The sequence below is a fragment of the Homo sapiens genome, chromosome 7 (assembly GCF_000001405.40).
Source record: "Homo sapiens chromosome 7, GRCh38.p14 Primary Assembly".
Classification (NCBI taxonomy): domain Eukaryota; kingdom Metazoa; phylum Chordata; class Mammalia; order Primates; family Hominidae; genus Homo; species Homo sapiens.
Genome location: NC_000007.14, coordinates 69,961,625 through 69,983,949, shown reverse-complemented (window position 1 = coordinate 69,983,949; position 22,325 = coordinate 69,961,625). Strand labels below are relative to the sequence as shown.

General features: G+C 37.0%; 1 protein-coding gene across 26 annotated transcripts in view; it reads right to left on the bottom strand.

Annotated features, from left to right (window-relative positions):
- AUTS2 (activator of transcription and developmental regulator AUTS2) overlaps positions 1-22,325 on the bottom strand; it is a 1,195,032-nt gene that overhangs the window by 809,557 nt on the left and 363,150 nt on the right. For 5 of the 26 annotated variants that reach the window (XM_011516017.3, XM_047420164.1, XM_047420163.1 and 2 more), the window contains exon 1: positions 16,146-16,480. The exons of the other annotated variants lie outside the window; for them this stretch is intronic. In XM_011516017.3, the coding sequence (XP_011514319.1) occupies positions 16,146-16,193 (48 nt within the window). In that variant the 5' untranslated portion in view covers positions 16,194-16,480. Of the gene's footprint in view, positions 1-16,145; positions 16,481-22,325 lie in introns of those variants that run through there. 26 annotated transcript variants of the gene reach the window in all.

The following is a 22,325-nucleotide window of genomic DNA, read 5'->3' as shown; positions in this document are numbered from 1 at the left end:
TGAATCACAGTATTTTATAAGTTGTATATGTGAATCATAGTATTTTATAAGGGTTTATAAGGGTTTATAACTAGAACCCTAGAGGAAGAATATCTTTGAATATACATTTAGTATAGATAGTAAATTTTCATGCATGTTATCATTTCAAAAATTACTTCACATAAGTGTATGAATGGGTCACCTACCTATTAAATTTTATTTTACCCCAAAACTATAGATTTCATTTTCATAACATTGATTTTGTCCAACATTAATAAAGCTAATCAACTACACTAATAAAAATGCCTTTATCTTTCTCAGCAGAAATAGCAATTTAACAGGCAACACGTAATCCTACATTAAGACTCATCAATTGTTTGATCTACAAAGAGTAGCACTTTTTTTCTTTCCTACACAGTCATACCCACATAACCTTCACACACACACACACACACAGTACAAAGCGACACCTTCTGATGCTGGCAGGTTACCATGTGTTTTCCACTGCTGTAATGAAGTCACCCCCAATAACTCAGATGATGAGAACAAAAACAATAACTTGAGAGAATAAAGAGCTACATATATACATTGTTTGCTGTGGCTTTCTCTTTCATGGCAAAAAAAAAAAAAGTTTATATAAATGCCCCCAAACAAGGGAATAATTTAGCAAATTATAATAAAACCCCACAGAGATTGTGAGAAATGCCACATAGAAACATTAGAATCATGAGTACAAAAAGGAAAATATAAAAGTATATACAATTAGTTATAAAATGCAGTAAGGGCAAATGTTGTAAGAAAATATGCAAAAATTAAAATTCATGTCAATGTTCCGTTTATAATAGGCTTTTCCTAACAAAGAAAAGACAACCTAGTACAGAATGGAAGAAAAGGTTCAAATCTGGTTACGCCATTAGTTTCCGGTAGGGTAAATGTTCATAGCCAAGGTCTCCCTTCTGGCCACTAACACTAAATGTGATTCTGGGCTTACTGTTCACATTTGCAGATTGATGGGATTGAACTAAATGGCTCTTCAGCTCTAAAACTCTGTCCTTGCCACTATAAAATCTGGCCAAATATTTAAAAGTCATCTCTTATTTCTTGCTGAATGGCAGTCACTGCAATGAAGCTCTTAAACAATATACCAAGAAAGATTCTGAGTACAGTGCCCAAATTATACCCCTTCTAATTCTCTATGAAGGCTTTCACCTCTGCCAAGAGTAACACACCTGAGTTCTCCACCAATTAAGCAAATGGCCAGGCCGCTGTTTTATCACATGTAGGACCAATGCTTTGTCACTGGCATCTTGTTTGGGTCATTCAATGGAAAAAGTGGCCGTATAAACGCAAACGCACTCATGTAGTTTTCTTCATTTCACCCATGGGTGATGACTCCCACTAGCAGGCATGCCTTGCATTTGCCTTTATTTTTCTCTAAGACTCACACATACATAACATGCATACTCCAGAGGTCCAAGGAAAATACTCCACGTTTTTTTTCCCCCCTCAGGATAGCCTGGAGCAGGAGGGGTGAAGAAAAGAAAGAGAAACAGCACACAAAGCTTTCCTTGTTCTTTTAATCTTTCTTAGACAAATTCTACACCAGAGAAAGCCACAGCTGAGGATTTTACAGTGGTGTTAAACACTGCTTCAGTCCCCTGAGAGAGAAGGAATGCATTCCCTTTAGTATTCACTGTGCTGAGCTACTCAGCTTTCTGAAAGAGAATATAGCAGAGCAGTCAAGAAGAAAAGGCACAGACCATGATACTTGCACTCAGCAGCTTATAAACCCGTTTATTTCCTCTCTAGGAAAAAAAGCAAACAAAAATGTTTTCAGGACCATTTCTCAAAAGGTTCCTATTTGTTGACTGATTTAATACATTTAATTCAGACAGTATATTCCTAAAATTGCTTTCTGTGTTGGTGCCTACGAGTCCTTGTCCTTAAGAAACTCACACTGATATAAACAAGATTAATAAGACAGTAGGTAAAGTTCAGCAAAAACAGACAAAAACTCATGATTAGCTACCCTTGTGAAACTAAGAGAAGATAAGCACAAATGCAACCGTCACAAACAACTGGGAATAAATTACCAACTCGAAGTGTGTACATATCAAGTGGTAGAACGAGTATATGTATTTTGATGGGTCTGACTCATCTTCACTCTTTAGTGACCTACTAATGCTCTGATGTCTGTTAGCATATCTCAAGAGGAAATAATGTTTGTTAATATCTAAATTTCAGTCTTAAGATTTTTCTACAATTTATTTACAAATCTAATGTGGTGTGTATTTCAAGACATGTGATAATCAAAGACCAGAATGAACTCAAGACTCTTAAGCGCTGATAGTGTGTACTGAAAGCCCATAATGAACTCATCTGGATGGTTATAATGGGATATAAAAATTGTTGGCAAGAAACTGTCTTCACTCTAGAGATAACAGTGATCATATTGATTATATCTATGTATATTAGGTATTAACATTAGAAATTAATTAATTTGAAATATTGAATAAAAATTTAAATACAAAATAAAAAAATACAGTTACATATTCACTTATAAAATAAAAATGACATACATCCTACCTTCTCATGGGTGAATGTTAACTGATCTAAAATCAGGCAAACCACAAATCTTTTACAATAATGCTCTTTTAACTGACCCCAACTGACCAGCTAGATCAACTGATGATCTTCGTTTCCTTTGTAAAACTTACTGAACATTTCATAGCCAATGAATACTCATCTCTATAAGACACCCGTGTACCACAGTGGACCATACCCAAACCTGTTTCTGCTAATTTTATTTACCACATGTAAACCAGTGATAAGTACAAAATGAAGGTGAGATTTTGTTTCTAGAGAAATTAAGCTGGACAAGATAAACATTTAATAAATGTGGGCCTCTCAAAAAACAATTGTTGAATTAAATACAAACTGACTATAGAAAGACTGGGAAAGGGAAGTTAAAATGATTCTGCATTCCAATTATTCATGTATGTGTAAGTTGTTATACCATTTTTAATAAGCCTCATAGACAACTGTGGTCAATGAATTACAGATGTGATTTATGCAAGAAAGAACAATTGGAACACAAATCAATATACCATTCTAAAACGAGCCCTCACTGCACATTGTAAACTCCTGGGGATCTTTTTAAAAAAATTGACGCCAAGGCTTCATCCCAGATCAACTGAATCAGAATCTCCAGAGTTGATACTTGGACATCAATTTTTTTTTTAATTCCCAAGGTAGTTCCAATGTATAGCCAAAGATGCAAACCGCTGCTCTACATGAAAGGACTGGTGAGAGGATGAGGATGTGTAATCATATGACTTCTAATACATACAATGTAAGCGTACACTTTTTTTTTTTAACAGTTTCAAGCTTTAACTGTTTCCAGTTCATAAATGTAGTATGGAAAAGATAATGCCAACATAAGCAGTATTCTACCAAATAACAAGTATGTACATAACCAGATCTACCTTGGCCTAAGAAGTACAGTGAATGCAATTTGAATGCCTTTCTCCACACAACTATCCTACAAATGAGGTTCCAAAAATCAATTATATAACTCCAAGGAAGTTTCTCTGCACTCCCTCTGCAAAACTGAACTAGATGTCCAACTCTTTCTGTACTGTCTTGAGATCCTCCCACTTACTCTTTAAGTGCACACAAACAAATTCTAGAGAGAAAAATAAGTTTTAAAAGGTTGATGTAATTAGCTGGGCATGGTGGCAGGTGCCTGTAATCCCAGCTGCTCAGGAGGCTGAGGCTGGAGGATCACTGGAACCCAGTGGCATCACTGCATTCCAGCCTGGGCGACAGAGTGAGAGACTCCATCTCAAAAAACAAACAAACAAAAACACAAAACAAAAAATGGTAGATGAGGGGGTGAAGTGGGGAAAAGTCTGGTGGTACCATGTGGAGAAGAGAAGGGATAGAAGCTTAGCTTAATGTGTGCACAACAAAAACTTCCAGTTTATAAAGCCTAATTCATTAATTCCTTCTCTTACTTACTCACACAAAAACATACAGTAAATAACTACTATATACTTACAGCTATTCTAAGCACTGGAAACCAACTCCAAAAATGGCAAAAATGGCATTTAAAAAACAAGGCGAATATGTGAATCTGTATCCCTCTTTTCTCTCTCTGCTGCTGCATCTGTATAGCAGGCAGCCTTTCAACAAGAAGCTATTACAGGCTGTTGAAAAGGATGCCTCCTGCCCTCAGTAGCAAACAAGGGTAACACGGCTTAATGAAAGTCACATTTGATGCACTGCATACTCTTCCATATCAAGTGGCTCAATTGCTGCCTGTAGTCTTCCTCATACTCTTATGAGGTAATCTGGAATCATGTCTTTGATTTAGATTGGCTGCATCTTTTATTTCCAAAATACACTGGTAATGGTGTAGTCTTCAAATTTAACATTTGAAACTGTGATTCCATTTACCTCCTTGTACTAACTTGAAAAAATGACTGTAATTGAAATCCTTCCATTGGAAATAAAGCCCTTGGAACTTTTCAGTTGTTGCTCATCCTTAAGGGTTATTTGAGCTGTCAAAACTATGAATGGTCTATCCACTGAAATAAGCCCTCTTTGAGGATGATGAAAAAAGTACAGGATAGAAAGATCAAGTCCTACTTGTCTCAAACAGCAAGTTTTCCTCCACCAACTAGCAAAGGCAGAGAAAATAAGGTTCTTCCCTGTCTGGATTCTACTGTTTATCAAATGAGAATAAAAGGATTCTTAGGGCCATGCTCCACAGCTTATGTTCCTTAGCTTAAATTTCTTCTAAATTTCCCAAATAGTTTTCTGACACAAATTTATTACTTCATTCTAACAGAAAACCCAAGGAAACTCTATAAAATATTACTAACAGTTTACATGCAGTCATCATGATTATGTAAATTTCCAAAAATAGTTTTTAAATAAATTTCAAATTAACTCTGAAGTTAAAGGCTAAGCTAGAGTACATAACTTTAAACTTATAGACAGATATAGAATAAAATTCCCAGGAAGACTGGTAATGGGTGTGTGTGCGTGTGTGTGTGCGTGTGTGCGTGTGTGTGTGTGTGTGTGTGTGTGTGTGTGTGTGTGTGTGTTGTTTCTTTGAGACAGACAGGGTCTTGCCCTGTCCGTCCAGGCTGGAATACAGAGGTGCAATCATGGCTCATTGCAGCCTCAATCTCCTGAGCTCATGAGATCCTCCCACTTTAGCCTCCCAATTAGCTGGGACCATAGACACATACCACTACACCCAGCTAAATTTTTATTTTTTTATTTTTTATAAAGACAGGGTTTCACCATGTTGCCTAGGCTGGTGTCAAACTCCTGAGCTCAAGCAATCATCCTGCCTTGGCCTCCCAAAGTGCTGGGATTACAGGCATGAGCCACTGCATCCAACCAATAATATTTATAATGATCTAAGAATGGTTTTTCAGAGGAACACTTCTTATCAAACAAAAAGTGTACTGATTTCCTGCACTTAATTCAGTATCTCGTTGGATTGAATAGCTCATGAAGAAAATTTATTGTTTCCTCCATGATCTTCTTCTGGCTGAAATGGCTAACAGTTTTTCAATAAAACCAGAATTAGTAATTCCAGTCTTATTACAAAAATGCATTGTCAAAATTGCCTGGAAAAAGAAAAATACTGAAAAGACAATGTTGTTTCTGGAATCTACATCTTGATGGAATTGCAATAAAGGGTATGAAGATGCAAATGTATGTGTTAGTGATAATACAATTTATCTAAAGCAAGGTAAACTTAAACTGGAGCTGCCTCTATAGCAAAGTGTGACTGATACTTCAAATAGGAGAAAGATGAAGATAATAAAAGGCAATTATCACCCTCTATTGAGCACTCAGGCCTTGCACCATGCAAATACTCTCAACATTATGTTATTTAACCACTGTTTTAAAAGCATCTTAGGGAACTTCTGCTTCCAAGAAAATGGAGTAGACATACTTTTCCCTATTATCCACACTAAGTACAACTAAAATCCCTCAACATTATACATAAAATAAATATAAACAGACTCTGAAAAGTGAAAAGAAGATGACGTACTGGCTTAAAACCTGGGGGCCCCCAAAAATGACATGGTGGTGAGTTCTCCAGGAGTTTTCATTTTATAGGTCTCATATATCCGATATGATATATGATGTCATCAGATTTGGAGTTGAAAAAACAGAAACCCAGTAATGTCAATGACACATACCAAAACAAGCCCCTAGAAAAGTTTGTTGTCTTTAGCCAAAGAATCAGAAAAGAGGGAAACTGTAAAGACAAGTACTGGAGTCCAGACTTCCAACACTGCTCCCAAAATACAAAACACTGCTGAAATAAAAGAGCTACAAATAAATGGAAAGGCATTCCATGTTTGTGGTTGACCATGGGCTTTAATATTGTTATACCTACTGTTGTTAAAATGTCCATAGTACCACAAATGATCCATAAATACAATCTCTATCAAAATCCCAATGGCAATTTTAGCAGAAATAGAAAAATGCATCCTAAAATTCATATGTAATCTCAAAGGACTCCAAATCACCAAACAATTTAGAAAAAGAACAAAGTTAAAGGACTTAAACTTTCTGATTTCAAAATATATTACAAAACTGTGGTAACCAAAACAGTGTGGTACTGGCACGAAGACAGATAAACAGACCAATGGAATATAATATCAAGCCCAGAAATAAACCTTCACATACATGGTTAAACAATCTTTGACAAAGGTGTCAAAGCCGTTCAATGGAGAAAGATAGTTTATTCAACAAATGGTGTGGGAAAACTGGACGCTCACATGCAAAAGAATAAAACTGGACCCTTTACACCATATACAAAAATTAACTCAACATGGATAAAGACCTAAATGTAAGACATAAAAGTATAAAATCACAAAACTGCTAGAAGAAAACATTGAGGAAAAGCTTCATGACATTGGATTTGACAATCTTTCTTGGATGTGACAACAAAAGCACAGGTAACAAAAGCAAAAACAGACAGATGGAACTACATCAAACTTAAAAACTTTTGTTCATCAAAGGACACAATCAACAGAGTGAAAAAGAAACCTATGGAATGGGAAAAAATGTTTCCAAACCATATGCCCGAAAAAAGGTTAAAATCCAGAATATGTAAAGAACTTCTGCAACCAAACAATGAAAAACAAATAACTGATTAAAAAATGAAAAAAAGTTTGAATAGAAATTTCTCCAAAGATAATACACAGGTAGCCAACAAAGATTCTCAACATCACTAATCATTAGAGAAATGCATTATCCCCTCAGATCTATTGAGATTGCTACTATCAAGAAAAACAGAGAACAAGTATTGAAGAGGATGTGGAGAAATTAGAACACTTGTGCACTAATGGTGGGATTGTAAAATGGTGCAACTGCTATAGAAAACACTATGGAGGTTCCTCAAAAAATTTAACACAGAACTACCATATGATCCAACAATCCCACTTCTACATACATACCAAAAAGAACTAAAAGCAGGGTCTTATAGCATCACTATTCACAATAGCCAAGAGGTGGAAGCAACTCAAATGTCCAATGGATGAATGGACAAACAGTATGCCGTATATTCATACAATGGAATATTATATAGCCTTAGAAAGGAAGGAATCTTGTCACATGCTACAACATGGATGAAACTTGAGGATATTATGAAGTGAAATAAGCCAGTGCCAAAAAGATAAATACTGTATATTCCATATTCATAAGGTATCCACAGTAGTCAAATTCAGAGAAACAGAAAGTAGACTGGTGGCTACCAGGGGCTGAGAGGAGCAAGGAAAATGGAGTTGTTCAATGGGTAAAGAGTTTCAGATTTGCAAGATGGAAAACTTCTGGATATGTGTTTCACAGCAATGTGAATATATTTAACAGTATTGAACTGTATACTTAATAACCGTTAACATGGTAAATTTCATTAAATACATCTTTACCAGAGTAAAATGCATTTTTTTTAAAAATCAGCTGGGCGAGATGGTTCAAGCCTGTAATCAGAGCACTTTGGTGGGCGGATCACCTGAGGTCAGGAGTTCAAGACCAGCCTGGCCAACATGGTGAAACCCTGTCTCTACTAAAAATACAAAAATTAGCTGGGCATGGTAGCGCACGCATGTAATCCCAGCTACTTGGGAGGCTGAGACCCGAGAATTGCTTGAACCCAGGAGGCAGAGGTTGCAGTGAGCCGAGATCATGCCACTGTACTCCAGCCTGGGGGACCGAGCAGACTCCACCTCAAAAAAATAAAAATAAAAAAAAAACAATTAAAAAAATTCAACGGATGGGCTCAAGACCAGGTGGAGGAGAGTAAAGAATCAGTGAACTGAAAGAACAACTAAAATTACTCATCTAAACAAAAGAGAAAAAAAGAGACTGAAAAACAAAACAAACAAACAAAACAACAACAAAAAACAGAGTATCAGGTATCTGTGGGATTATAACCAAAGATCTAACAATTGTGTCTTCAGAGTCCCAGAGAGAGAGGAAAAGGAAAATAGGGCTTTAAAAGTACATGAAGAAATGATGGGTGAAAATTCTCAAATTTGGCAAAAACAACACCTACAGATTCAAAAAGCTATGATAATACAAAACAGAATAAGCTCAAAGATACCCACACCAAGACACATCATAGTTAAACTTTGCTAAAGATAGCAAAAAAATCTGGAAGCAGCCAGGGAGAAAGAAGTCATGACATCTAGACAAAAGAAGGATAGTGGATGTCTCATGAGAAACCCTGAAGGCCAGAAGAAAGAGAACAACATTTTTCAATGGCTTGAAAGAAAAAGAAAAGAAAGAAAGAAAAAGACAAAAGAAACTGTCAACCAAAATTCTACATCAAGTGCAAACATTCCTCAGTAAGCAACAGGTAATCAAGACAACCTCATATAAAAATAAATAAATAAATAAATAGTTACTGGGAGAACTACCCTAAAAGAATGGCTAAAGGAAGTTCTATTTTTAAAAAAAAATAGCTAAAAGAAAGGATCTTAAGTCACTAGGACAGAAGAAAGAGCAATGATACAGTAACTTGTAAAAATGAATCAACTCTATGCTATCCATAAGAAACTCTCTTTAAATAAAACAATATAGGCAGCAAAAATTAAAAAAAGATACATGTGATTGTTAAATTTATGTGTCAACTTAAAGAGCTGGTAAAACATTATTTTTTGGTATGTCTGTGAGTATGTTTCTGGAAGAGAATAGCATTTGAATTGGTAGACTTATTAAAGAAGATGCCCTATTTGGGCACGTGGACCTCATTCAATCCATTGAGACCCAAACAGAACAAAAAGGCAGAGGAAGGAGAAATTTACTCTCTGTTTGAGCTGGGACATCCAAATCTCCTGCCCTTGGAGATGGAACATCAGCCCTTGTGGTTCTCAGGCCTTCAGTCTTGAAAAGAGATTTACGCCACTGGACCCCTCATTCTCAGGCCTTCAGAGTCAGACTGAACTACACTCTCCAGCTTTCCTGGTTTTCTAGCTTGCAGATGGAAGAAATAATTAAGATAACAGAATAGAAAAAAATAAGTTGAAAACAGGAAAACAAGAGAGAAAAATCAATGGAACACAAAACTTGTTCTTTGAAAAAAATCAATAAAATTGACAAACATCTAGTATGACTGACACAGAAAAAAGACACAGACATTATTATCAATATCAGGGATGAAACAAGGAATATAACTATACAGACATCAAGAAGTCAATAAAGAATACTATCAACAGTTCTGCACACTTAAATTTGACAACTTAGATGAAGTGGACCACTTCCTTACAAAGAAAAACTACCAGAACCCACCAAATATGAAAAACAGTAATTTAAGTAGCCCAATAACTTAAATTAAGAAAATTTAATTTCTTAAATTAACAATATCTAAAAAAGACGTTTCCAGACCCAGATGGGTTTCCACTACAGAATTCCACACAATGTTTAAAGAAGAATGAAAACCAATTATACATAATCTCTTCCAGCAAACAAATAAGGAGTGAACACTTTTAAATCATTTTATGGAGCCAGTAATATCCTCATAATAAAACCATTACAAAAAGAAAATTACAGACCAGTATTTCTCGTAAGTACAGATGCAAAAGTCCTTAACAAAATATAAGTAAATAAAATTGAGCGATACATACAAAGAATTATACACATTGACTAAATAGAACTTTTTCCAGGCTTGCAAGAATGGTTCAATATCTGAAAATCAAGCAATGTACTCTACCGTATTAATAGGCTATAAAAGAAAAACCTAATAATTATATCAATTAACACAGAAAAAGCATTTGGCAAAATTCTACATCCATTCATGATAAAAAAAATCTCAGAAAACTAGGAATAGAAAGGAACTACTTCAATTTGATAAAGAACATAGAGAAAAATCCTACAGCTAACATTGTACTAAACAGCAAAAGACTGAATGCATTTTTCCCCAAATATCAGGAACAAGACAAGGATATTCACTCTCACCACTCTTAGTTCACACCGCATGAGAAGTTCTACTCAGTGCAATTAGCCAAGAAAAGGAAATTTAAAAAGCATAGATATCAGATAGGAAGAAATAAATCTGTCCTCATTTGCAAATGACATAATTGTCTATACAGAAAATTTCAAAGAACTACAAATAAGTTCCTCAAACTAATAACTCCATTTATCAAGGTTACAGGATACAAAAAACAACATTTGAAAATAAGTTGTATTCTGTATACTAACAATATGCATGTAAAATCTAAATTAGAAATACAATACCATTTCAAGTGCCCCCCAAAAGTGATAGTTATAAATCTAATTCATATAGGACTTGTATGCTGAAAACTACAAAATGATAAAAGAGATCAAACAAGATCTAAATAAACGGAGAGACAAACCTCTTCATGAAGAGAAAGACTCAACAAAGTACTTAAAAAAAAAATTCCCAAAACCAATATCCTGGTTTAACACAATTCTTATCAAAACACCGGAAAGATTTTCTGTAAACACAGATGAGGTTATTATAAAATTTATATGAAAAAACACAGGTACTATTTTATCTTAAGCAATTTTGAAAAAGAATAGCTACAGTAATCAAGACTTTTTGATCTTGGTAGAGGAACAGACATTAAATCAATTGAGGAATAGAGAAACCCAAAACAGACCCATTTAAGTACAGTAAACTGATTTTGGACAAAGGTACAAGAACAATTTAATGGAGAAAGAATAGTCTTTTCCATAAGTGGTGCTAAAACAACTGGACATATACAGGAACGTGCACACACACACACACACACACACACACACATGCACGCACACACACACAAAGAAAAACTTTGACCTAAGTTTCATATCTTATAAAAAATTTATCTCAAAATGGATCATGGACTTAAATATGAAATATAAAGCTTTTAGGAAAAAAGGAAAAGAAAAATCTTCAGGATCAAAGGATAAGCAAAGAGTTTTAAGACTTGACAATAAAAGCAAGAATATAAAGGAAAGGATCCATACACTGGACTGCATCAAAGTTTAAAACTTCTACTCTGAGGAAGACTCTGAAAGAGGATGAATAGACAAGCTATAAATTAGAAGAAAATATGTGCAAACCACATACCCAATAAAGACTTACTGTCTAGAAAATATTAGGAACTGTGAAAAACTCAACAGTAAAAATTTTTAAATCCAATTAGAAAATGGGCAAAAGACATTTAAAGAGCAAGAGACATTTAACAAAAGAAGATACTCAAATGACAAATAAGCAAATGAAAAGATGTTCAACATTATTAGCCATTAGGGAAACGCAAATTAAAACCCATCACTGGACACCATCAGTACACACCAATAGAATGGCTAAAATAAAAAACCAGAAACACCACCAACATCATTGCATGCTGGTGAATGCGCAAGTAAACGGAATCGCTAATACAGTGCACTAAAGAGAATATGCAATAGTAGAGTCAGCCAGGAAGACAGTTTGGTGGCTTCTTAAAAATTAACCACGCAAATACTATACATACTACCCAGCAACTGCACTCTTGGACAATTATCCTAGAGAAAAGAAAACTTATGTTCACAACAAAACCTATAAACAAATGTTCATAGTACTTCTAGGAAAACAACTCAGATGTCCATCAACAGAAGAATGATTAAATAAACTATGGTACACCCATACCATAGAATACTACTCAGAAACTAATAGCATACAACTTGAACGAATCTCTAAAACATTATGCTGAGTAAAAACAGAAAATTCCAAAAAGCTGCATCCTGTATGATTCCATTTATATAACATTCTTGAGACGACAAAATTATAAAAATGGAGAAAAGTGATTGCATATCAGGAGTTAATGATGGGGGTTGTGAAGGTAGAAGGAAAGAGGCATGGCTATCAAAGGCCATCAGGAGAGAGACTTTTGGTGATGTGGTTGTTCTGTATTTTCACTGTACTGATGTCAATATCCTTGTTGTGATATTTTACTATGGTTTTACAATATGTTACCATTGAGGAAACTAGGTAAAGGGCATATGGGATCTTTACATTTTATTTCTTAAAACTGCATATTGTACTATTATTACGTACTACCATTATCTCAAAATAAGAAGTTTAACTGAAAAATACATTAGGTGATAATACTCCTCATTTAATAGATGAGAAAACAATTCAATTGAGTTTCAATATATTGCCCAAGGTCATATACTACCAGTAAATGGCAGAAGCAGAATTCAAACTCAGGTCGGCCAGACTCCTGGGAAAAAGTCACAGATTTACTCAGTAGCATTTAGGGGGGAAAAATGGTTTTTTGAGACAGGGTCTTGCTCTGTCGCCCAAGCTAAAGTGCAGTGGTGGGATCATAGCCCACTGCAGCCTCGACCTCCCAGGCTCAGGTGAACCTCCCACCTCAGCCTCCCAAGTAGCTGAGACCACAGACACACGCTACCACACCAGCTAATTTTTTAATTTTTAATTTTGCAGATAATGAGGTCTTGCTATGTTGCTCAGGTTTGTCTTGAACTCCTGGGATCAAGGGATTCTCCCGCCTTGGCCTCCCAAAGTGCTGGGATTATAAGGATGAGCCACAACACCCAACAGGGAATAAATATCTATTACGTGCAGGGATTCTGGATAGAAAAATCAAAATCAAAAACACAATGTAATTCTGTATCTCTAGGATCATATGTTACTATAGAAGACGCAGGTGAATAAGAAATTACAATAAGGTGTATTATGTATATACAAGGTCAAGGGCTAGCACTGTTGAGGGAGATGTAGTGAGAATGCTTAGATGGGAGAGGGGAACCATTAACAAGCAGCAAAACAGACTCAGACTGACCTTTTAAGATACCTCTAGCAGGGTTTTGGAGCACTGGAAGCACCATGAATGTGGCAGGGAGATCGATTAGGAGGCTCCTCTAATAAGCCAGAAGGGAGATGATAAGAACAGAACTAAAACAGCTCCTTTGGGAACAAAGATGACTGGCTGGATAGGGATGCCTTAGCTGTGCTAGGAGATGTAAGAGGAAGAAAATCCTTGGTTAAGGAAGAAGAAATTAACTATACTTTAGAAATGCTGCATTTGAGGAATCTGTTGAACTTCAGGACAGATATCTACCTAACCAATTAAATATATACCTCAGAAACTCAAGAAAGATATTATGCTAGATATAGAGCTTTTGGAATCATCACTTATAGGACATAGAAAAACACACCAAAAAGGAAATTGCTCAGGGAGAATATGTAGAATAAAAAGAGAAAGGGGGTATAGGATGAAATTAATTGAAGTAAGCACTCTTTTAGAAAGAAAGATAGCTAGGCACCAATCTAATTCAAGAAAGAGACAACTCATAAATAATTTAGATGGAAATTCTTACAGAGGAACATGTGTGTTAGTGTGGTGGTGGTTAAAAAAACAGTGTTTGTTTTATTATATATTTTAATTTTTGAAAGGGATCATGATTCCAGTGATCACAAGTGAACAGTATTCTCTTATGCCAATGTTTTTGGTCATGCGTTACTTGCCATTCTTAATTTTTCTTTCTCACTACTGAAGACTGATTAAATCATCTTCCTAAATGATAAACTAGGAGATGGATATTGAAGAGATTGTGTGATGTATTTTCTTATAGTTTTGGACAAACATCACAGCAGAAATATCTTTCCAACAATTACAAGCTTATATCAAATCAAAATGGTCAGTAGTTGACAATCAAGAGAGGAATTTCTTTTTTTGTCCTTTTAAAGATAGTGAGGGAAATTCCAAATCAAAAAGCCTTTGTAAGAATGGCTTTTTAGAGGAATACAAAAAAGATGGTTTTAGTTTGTTTTGTTATCAATGCTGTCCCTGTGTTTACACTAAGACTTATTATCTCTCTAGGTTAAAACTCAATCCATCTTGATGAGTTTTGGAAAACAAAAATCTCCAATGAAAATTTTTAAATTGAATCATTGTGAAAGAACAAAAGTTCTGCAGAGAATCACTGAGATCTTGAGCACCATAACCATGCCAAGAACAAGAATGAGATTTCTCTTTTTCTTCTATCCTCATAAAATCAAGACGAATATCCTTCAATTAGGTATAGAGCCTTACATTACTTAGCTTTACATTACACTTGTGCCTTGCCATATGGAAGCATTCTCTGCTTGTTTGGTTGCTAAAGGAATAGCAGCATGGTAATTCAAATGAAGCAATTAACTTAACGTTCTCCTTCTTTTTCTTTTTATGACAATCATTTCTGGAAATGCTTTTCCCCTTTTCACATTAGTTTATTTACGTGCCTTAACTCTTGAGTTTCAGGTTCCCATGACAGAACATTCAAGATAAAAGGGAAAGCATAAGAAGGCAGAGTACAGTTTTCAGTTATCAAAATTCATAACAGCAAACAATGGATGGTCGGCTTCTCAAAGGAAAGTAATCTACTGAGAAAAAAAAATCCCAAACCACAATCTTTCCCAATCCTGTGCATGAATAGATAATATTTTACTTATAATAGCTTTAATAGTTAACAATGCAAGTGAGTTTAAAATAAAAAATGGATATTTTAAATAAAAATCCTGTAATTTCAACATGGGTAAAGAAAGAGTAATTTTGCTGTCTTAAAAACACAGCAGAAACAAGTCCACACAGAAAAAAAAAATGCAGTAAAAAGGAGTTGAAAATGTTCTAACTTTTTTTTTAAACTAGGTGAATGGAAGAGGCATATTTAATGTGCTTATGCATATAATCATAAGGAGTATAAAGACAGTCGCACAATTTTCCATCTTGCCACATCACAGTTCCATTCTATAGAGCCTCAGCTTAACTCTACAATCAATATGCCAACGTTTTCAACAATCAAATCAAGGAGGGAAGATTTCAAAAGGGAGGCACACGTTAGGATCCTCCTGGAAATCTCATTTCTTGATCTGCAGTCCAATGCTCTACCTCTGAGCTATATCCTCTCCTGGAAACCTCATTTCTAATCCTGTAAATTCCCAACAGAGTAAGTGACACATATGGATGTGGAACCAAAAAGATGTCAAACAGCCCCGGTAAGTGAAGATGTATTAGAAAGTACACTTTTCCCCTAAAAGTCCAGAAATGGTATGTTAAAATACAGTGGAACTGTTTAACATCAAAATTTTAGGTACAACCAAAATTCATTCATAAAATATAATCCCCTGACAGACAGTAAAGAGATCATCTCATATATGGTCAGACAACCTTATGGGGATTCTTTCTACAACCAAGTAAGACTACAAATGAGTAAGCAGTTAGTTAACTGAAAGAGGAAAAAAATTCTAAGCCAACAGGTAATAGGAAGTGACTGTCAATTTGTTTCAGAACCAAAAATATATCTACCTTTGTAACAAATAATACCTTGAAAATTCTCTATTCAATCTAAAGCAGAATATCCTGCCTTTCCTGTTATTGTAGTTTCATTATTTCCCCTCTTTAAACTCTAAATCATGCCTCCGGAACAGAGTCTGAAGATTGCTTCCACTTGGTCAGCGGCAACGTCAGATTGCAAGCAAAGAGCTTGTGCTTCATCCAAGGATCATTAAGCCAAAGGAAATACATTCACAAATACAACTTCTCAGCTTCATTCACTTCCCCAAGTGGCCAGAGGAGCCCATCAACATGACAAGACTGGAGGGAGGTGGCAGGTTTCCCCTGGGAAAAGAAACCATATTGACTTACCTTCTCTGCATACTTGAACTTAACATAGAACCAGCTTGACTTGATCATTGTCTCACCTCCTGCCCTCAGAGGAAAAGAAAAATGAAAAGAGCAAAAACAAAAAACCCACAATATAGCGCTGGAGAAAAAGCAGTGTGTCAGCAAAGGCTTCTTTCCGATGCTGAGTTTTCCAAAGGATGACAAGTATTCAAAGACAGGAGGAATAAAAGGTGGAAAAAATAGGAAAAATCCACTCTTTCAAACCTGGCCCCCTTCCCCTTTATGTTCCTGCACACCTTCCCTGAGCTCCTAAAACACTGTGTGTGATCTTGCTCCGGAAACTGCACTCCAGGACTGCCTTGCCAAGCTGCCTGCCTCTCCCTCCCTCCCACTCCCTCTGTGTTTCTGTGTTGGCCGGCTGACAAGAGAATTCCTCAAATGGACTTCAACTGCCCTCCTCACAAATGGCACATGTCAGTAAAGGCAGGAGGCAGGCTATGTCCCCTGGTACCTCCCAGAAGGACAACCTTCTCCTCTGACCCCTACTCCCACGGGATGAATAATGAATTCCAGCACTCCCCTCAGGACACAGATTAACACCTGGCCAAACATTATTTTGACAAGAGGCTGTGTCTAGGAAAAGGACACTGCCACAGATTTAACCCCATGATCTCCAAAACAAGATCAGGAGGTGACCTTTCTCCACGCCTACAGAAAATTATCACACTAAAAACAGTCCAGTCTCTTTAGCAAATAGTGAATAAGAATCCATCTTAAGTTCTCCAGCTGAAACAACATCTTCTAACCTTTTGTACCAGAGAAAGAAAATTGGGACAGCTTTCTCTTACTATTCCCCCTTACGTGGTCTTGCTGACAGAACAGCTCCTAGTACTCAGCAGCAGGAACTAACAGCTTGGAAAAATGATTGACGCTTTATAGACATATTTCTTTTCAGAAACGTAAAGAAAATATTTTTATTTTTGTTATACTACTACTAACTCATTAAACTTCCAAGAAAAAGTGTGAAATGGCATCAGCACTCAGTTTACGAGATGAAAGAAACAGAGAGAAAGGGGTGAAATCAAGGAGCATGGTTTGAGCATACATGGATGTGAGACACCCAGGCACTGCCACGCTCAGGGTAAATGTGCTCGAGATGTTCAGGCACATGGGAAACAGTGATTTCCAAAATATTAAATAATATTATGGCACATCTCTATTGCCAAGTAAAAAATATTTCCCAAATACAAAATAATTAAGACCCATTTGGAATCAAAAGTAGATTCTACTGATTGCTGTAAACTATTCCCCACCTGTAAAGAGAGAGACAGCAATGCAGAGGAATTTGGATGTATGATGTTATCAGCTTCCATCTTCCAAAGTGGTCCAAAAAGGTCTGAAATATTTTACCATTCAGTTGCTTTGTGCTCCCTCTTATTTCTACTGCTGACTATAGCATTATAGCTAGTGGGTGGCTTTATCATGACCAGAAGGGTCAAAAGGTATGTGGGGGCTCAAGTCCCTTTGCTGTTGGCAATGGATCAGGAGCATGTATGACCCACTGTTTCATTTCCCTAACTCTGTGTTGCAGAAGCATCGAAGATGTGGACCTACAAATCCTTCACTGGAGGCACATCAGGCTTTCCTGAGCCAAGGTGTCTGAAGGCGTAACATTTGCTGAGACCTAAAACATCATTTAATAAATGTCCTCATGGAAAAAGAAGCTGCTATTACTTATCATTGAGCTAAGCAGCAGCTTCATTTAAGCATTCAAAATTTTAGGCGTGATTACCACTGAAAGACCCTCCTGAAAAACCCTACCCCTACCTCAAGTCAGTCACCATTATTATAAACTTCCCTGTAATAATTTTGAAGAAGCATTGTCCTCTACACTCACCTTAACAGTCTAATAGTATTTCAGTGGAGCAGCTATACAAGTGCATAGTAAAACTTCACACTGAGATTGACAGAAAGTGTGTCTTACGAGATCTGCATACAGTGAAGGATTGCAGGGGATTCTAATTCCAGTTAGTAACCAAGTGAGGATACAGATCACAGAGGAGGTAGAAAAGAGAGTCTATGGAATTCACACCAAAAATAAGACCTCTAATTTCTCTGAGAAGAATGGCTCTGTTCCTACTGGCCCCTCTCAATTCCCTGAAATCTTTCCAGCAGCCAGGTATTCTTTTTGTCCAGAATGCCCTTATGTTCCTCCCTCATAGTCTCTCGTCCTTTAGATTGGCACTGAGCTGTAACTTCCTGCAAGTTTTCCTTATCCTCAACCCTAAGTCTGGGTTGGGGGCATCTATAGCGTATTGAACTTCTCCCCTCATTAGCACTTATCGGACAATGTTATTGCTGCCTGTTTACTTCTGTGCATCTCCCTCTGAATTAGAGGTCTCTTGAGAGCAAGCACCCAATCTGCATCAATCATAGCTACAGTCTGTGGCTTGGCACCATGCATAGACACAGTTGATGCCTCGCTAGTAGTTGCTGGATGGTTGGAAGGAAAAGTTAGATCCTTTAGCAAGAACGGAGATGAGACAATGCATGTAAAGTTCTTAGCACACTTTCTCCAACACAACCAAGTTTTGTATTAATGTTTCCTATCATTATAGCCGTGGGGACAGTGGGGAGCATTTGGAACTATCACCAAAAGGATAGAAAAAGCAACTCGGTAAATGCACTGATGGGCAACACTGAAAAAGCTATCAGATGTTGAAGTTCACTGATCTATAATAACAGTACAGATAGAGATGTGATTCTTGTAAGGGGAACACAGGCTCATGAGGGCAGATGAGTGACATGCTGCTGGGAGGAAATGGGCAGGACAAGAGCTTCAGGGAACTGGGGGTACTAATAAGGAAGGTGGTGAGGGGTGAGGGGATTACTCAAGTACTGCAAGCTGGACAAGGAAAGGAGTGAGGCCAGAGGAGCTCATGGTCTGCAAAAAGAGTGAGGTGTCCAGGGTTTCACAGGAATTATGGGGTTGGAAGGTAAGGTGACAGAGTGACAACTGACCAACTGTACTTAGAGACATGATAGCAAAAAAAAATCATGTCTTCAGGAAAGATTGTGAAAGAGTAGAGATGTCAATCCATTTCCTTGTGATCGTTCCCCGTTTGTCCTAAGTCCAAAAGCTCACCGAGAAGGGAAAAAAGTAAGGTAATGAAAGATTCCAAAAAGCTAGAATCTGGGTAATCAAGTAGTTAAGACTCATTCATAGGCTTTATGGATATTCTACCTGGGGAGGGACTTTAAACTTCACGAAAACCGAGGACCCCTTTTATGCAAAAAGAGATAACAAATTCCCCATTGATAACGTACTAAATTTTAGCAGTCATTCACTGATCAAAGAAACACAAAATGTAAGAATTTAGTAATGCTTTTTAATGAGTTTATATTTTATTAACCATCTCTTCAACAAATGCCTAAGGATAGTGTGCACGCAAATGGGTAGCACATGTGCCCTATTTAGTGTCCTGGAAAAGGCTGTGCCTTCCAGGCTGCGAACTGACCTGGATCAAACACTACAGTGATAAAAGAAGTAAAGCCCGGAGGGTAAAGTGACTTCACCAAGGTCTCACAGCTGGTCCATGTCTGAGCTGGGTTTACAAGCTTTCCTGGCTCCAGCATGCCACTGCATAGAAGAGTCTCCCTGAGAAGACTGTAACTGTATTATATGTATCAGGTAATATGGTAGGATAGTGGAACAGTAGGAATTAATAAGAACACACAAATTTTCTTAGAGCTAAAGAGAGGAGGGACATGTTCTATTCATTTTTTCTCCCAAATATCTAATATTTGCATGAGTCTAGAACATTACTTATTGGATAGGAAGGAGGGAGATCAACCTCAATTTAGGAGGTACGTTATTGGTTTTTGTTCTTTTTAAAGCATCTTAAAAAAGGAAAAGGAAATGAACCAGTGGCAGCAGGGAGAAAAGGCTACTTTACAGGAGAGAGTACAATGCATCACTCAGTGGTTACATGTAAGAGCTTTGAAGACTGAAGGCCCCTGGTTCCAATCCCAGCCATGCCAAATGCTGGGTGTAATTGCAAACTAACCACTTATCTCTCTACCTCAAGTTCCCCATCTGTAAACGGAGGGTAATCAAACCTATCTTAAAATGAGGATTCCTGTAAGAATTAAATAGGCTCATAGCTGTGAAGCAGTTAACATAGCTCCAGGCTCACAATTGAGCTTGATAAAAGGTAACCACAATGTCACTTTAAATTACATCACAACCTCCTAACCTCTGCTTAGTAGCTCAGTCAGCTAAAGACACTTATAGAAACATCACTTCTTAGACTTCCACTCAGAAACTTCACCTGCTATGATAGAGCCTTAATTATCCTCTGATTAAGTCCAAAGCCTGACATCCTATAAGGAAGGGAAGAGGACCAGAGAGGACACCAGAAGTCTACCCGGTTCCTTGGAAGGTGTTAAGTGGTGAAAGATTCTATGGTTTGGTAGCTGCAAGATGGTCACCTCCTCCAACAGGAGTGTGTTCTCTAATTTATCTTTAATGTTTTCTGGAAAATTAAAAGTTCATAAAAACACACACAGAGATATAACAAACTATCAAGTGGGCTCTTATTATTATTATTAATAACTTATCCTTAACTCTGAAACCACAACCAAAACAGGCTTCTGCAGCAACTTATTTTCATTTCCTGGCATAAACTCCTTCTCCTTCCATTTCCCACCCACCTTTTTTGTTTTGTTTTAAACAGACAGTTTACTGTTAAAATGGGACAATCTATGTGGAGGAATTGCTTCAGCTGCACAAAAAGAACCCTCCACTGCAGCTGTAGTTGGAACACATCATTTCCTCTGGCAGAACATCTGAATGCTTTTTAAGAGAGTCTGAAGAGGTATGATGGGTGCTCAAGGACTTTCCCTTTTCTCAGCAAACAGAGCTGGTCACAGCTCTTACAAAACCTTTAGAAGGATTCATTCATCTGTCAAAAACCGTACGTCTTCCACCCTTTGTACGTGCTTTTCTTCTGCTAAGAATGACTTTCTCTCTCTTTTTCAGCCCTCCTAGTCCCTACCCAAGCAAGCACACAGGCATTTATGCACGAGCTGTGCACACACACACACACACATACACATACATGCATGCATGCACACACTCACCTTTACCTAACTCAAAATTCTCTCAGACCTGAACATTTTACAAAAGCCTCCCCTGACCCTCAAAGAAAGAATTTGCAAATGAAACAACTCAGACGTTTAGCTTAACAGTAAAGCTAAAAATAACTTCAACTGCAATGCAAAGTACAAAGATAGAGCTGAATTGTAAACAAAACTGTTTCTATCTTACAATCTGCTATTCAGCAGAAAAAGAAAGCCCCATGCTCTTTCCTACTCATTACATCCCATGATAAATGTGTACTTCCTTAAATCTTTAGGGGGACGGAGAAGTGCATATCATCTGAGCATTTCAGGAGGCAGAAATCATGCCTGTATTATCTGCATCTGACCTCTTCTCTGCTCCTAAGAGGTACAGGGCCTAGCAGGAAAGAAGCCAGGGCCCACTGCCAAGAACAGAATTAAATGGCACCAGCTCCAAGCTAAGTGGTTTAGAGTCCTTAAGGGAACCAGGCAAGAGGCCCATCCAGGATTTTGAAGGTGGGAGAATGATCTCAAGGGATACCAAGCCATCTTGTAAGGAAGAAGAGTTGAGGATGAGAACCGCCTCTATAAAGGTCAGTTCCAAGGTTCCTTCCCCTCTCTACAGTGTCCACTCCTGGATAATATTCCTCCCTTGCCATACGTATCATCAGGGCAAGCAAAAACAAGCTATCACAGAGCTGGATACATGAATAATGCCCTGCCATGTGTGGAAGGATAGAAAATAGTGTTCAATGCTTGAACCAATCACCTTCACAGAGGTGCTCCTTGATACTTAGAATTCCTTGAGGTTGTATGAGTTTTCTTATTTTTTTTCCTCAGAGCTTTCCAAAAAGCCCTCAAAAAGGTTCACCTGCTTAAGATTAAATTAAAGGGAGGAAAACATGCTAAAACCAATAATCTTCTTTTGAGAGGAAGAGTTACATAGCCTTACAACATGGGCTCTATCTCTGTAAACAATATGTTAAGAAACATTTAGTCATTTTTCTATTATAGAAATATGTCCAGTTGTATAAACTAGCTAAATAAATTGGCCTGACATTAGAGCCAGAGAATTTTGAG